The 1,958-nt window shown below is 37.7% G+C and overlaps 1 pseudogene; it reads right to left on the bottom strand.

The window, feature by feature from the left end:
* On the bottom strand, positions 682 to 1,177 carry RPS18P6 (ribosomal protein S18 pseudogene 6; annotated as a pseudogene).

Genomic DNA, 1,958 nt, shown 5'->3' with positions numbered 1-1,958 from the left:
TTGCTAGCCAAGAAAACCTCAAACAATACTTTCTGTTTCAGATCTCTAAATTCAGTTCATACGTTTTAAAGGATGCTTACTGAATACATATAATTTATTTCCCTGGAAAAGGTAACACGCCATTTTCTCTGTCAAAAAAAAAGGGACAAATGTTACAGTGGAAAAGAAACAAGGGAATAAAAGAATTGGTAGAACCACAGCTACCGCACAGCTATTTTTCTCTTGATTTCTCATACGGAGTCCTTTTTATTTGCTGAACAAATAGCCAATTGTTGGTGAAGTGAGGAGAGCTGTTCAACTGTGCCAGCTACTACCACCTGCTGCAACTAATTAAGTGTGATTACAGTGAAGAGGTGGCAACATTATCATAAACACCTGAAATTCTTGGTTTGAAAGAATGCCCAGAATTCCAGGGCACTGAACCAACAAAGACAAATCATTCAACTGATAAAGAAGATCTCTGAAGTTATTTAGCCCAGTGTTTCTTTGGCTGCTTATAGCATCAGGTCAACAAGTGAATTAAATATATTTAATCTGCTATCAGATAATACAAATCAGCATGGAAGTCAAACCAACTGCTACAATACAGATGACTTGATTTATTTTTTTTATGAAAAGATTTGACTTTCCCTGAAAGATAAAACATATTACATTTGAAGTAGCAATTTTCCTACCAGAGTAATTTATTAACAGACAAAGCCTACAGACTTATTTCTTCTTGAATACACCCACGATATGACTATAGCAGCCAGTAGTTTCACTGTGCTGGCATTAGACATGAAGGCCCAAGAAATGGCTCAGCCCTCTACAGGCTGGAATCTTCTTTAGTTGCTCCAGGTCTTCATGCAGCTCATTGTCCAAACCAGTGGCCAGGATTTGGATATATTTTCCATCCTTTACATCCTCTATCTGTTCACAAACAAGTCTGGGATTTTGTGCTAGTGTAGATACTGCATAATGGTGATAACACGTTCCACCTCTTCCTCAGTGAATTCTCCTGTCCTCTTGGTGAGGTCAATGTCTGCTTTCCTCAACACCACATGAGCTTACCTTTGACCTACATCCTTAAAGATAGTGATGGCAGAGGCTGTTTTCCACCCCCCATTGATGTTGGTATTGAGTACTCGCAAAATATGCTGGAACTTCTCAGGGATGACTAGAGACATGATGGCAGCACTGGTGGTAGGCATGTAGGCCTCCTGTGGAAAAGCCCAAAGGAATTTACATTATAAAATTTTATCAAAATTTTAGTGCCTTACAAAACACTTGTAATGAGCAGAGATATCAGCAAATCTCAACCATTAAGAAGAAAATTGTTGATTCTCTGAATGTAAAGCCAAGTTCATTGAAACCAGCAACATCAATTACTTTGTCAACATTATTCCGTGTAAATTATTGAAACTAGGAATACTGTCCCCAAAGCAAAAACGGAGATACTACAGAAATGGCAATCACATTAGAAGTCTTTCAGGCCCTTTCCTTCTCTTTATGGAACTACAGTTTATAATTCTACCGGCTCAGTTTGGGATTGCCAATACAACCTAAAGAATATAAATTGATAAACATATAAGGGAATTAGGGAAAGTATCTGATGAATTCAGGCAAAACAAGAAAAACACTCCTAACTAAAACATTTTAGAAATTTGGAAGAAGGGGGAGGTGGAAGTTGCAGGGGGCTGAAATAGCCCACTGCACTCCAGCCTGGGTGACAGAACAAGACTCCATCTCAAAAAAAAAAAAAGTGGGAAGAAGGCGTTCTTTTAAACCTAAATCTCCCGAGTAATTGTCCTGCTTCTTTGTGGGCAATGACATATATTGAGAAGGTGTGCATGTTAAAGGAGAAACAGTTATGCTACGGGAGATACAAATGATTAGCATAAATATATGAAGATGATTTCAGGTAATTACTGCATTACATAGCCATTTAAGAAAGATTAAATTTATGAACATGTTACATA

Source organism: Homo sapiens, chromosome 3 (genome assembly GCF_000001405.40).
Source record: "Homo sapiens chromosome 3, GRCh38.p14 Primary Assembly".
Classification (NCBI taxonomy): domain Eukaryota; kingdom Metazoa; phylum Chordata; class Mammalia; order Primates; family Hominidae; genus Homo; species Homo sapiens.
The sequence above is the reverse complement of the archived record's forward strand: the minus strand, read 5'-3'. Positions and strand labels throughout refer to the sequence as shown.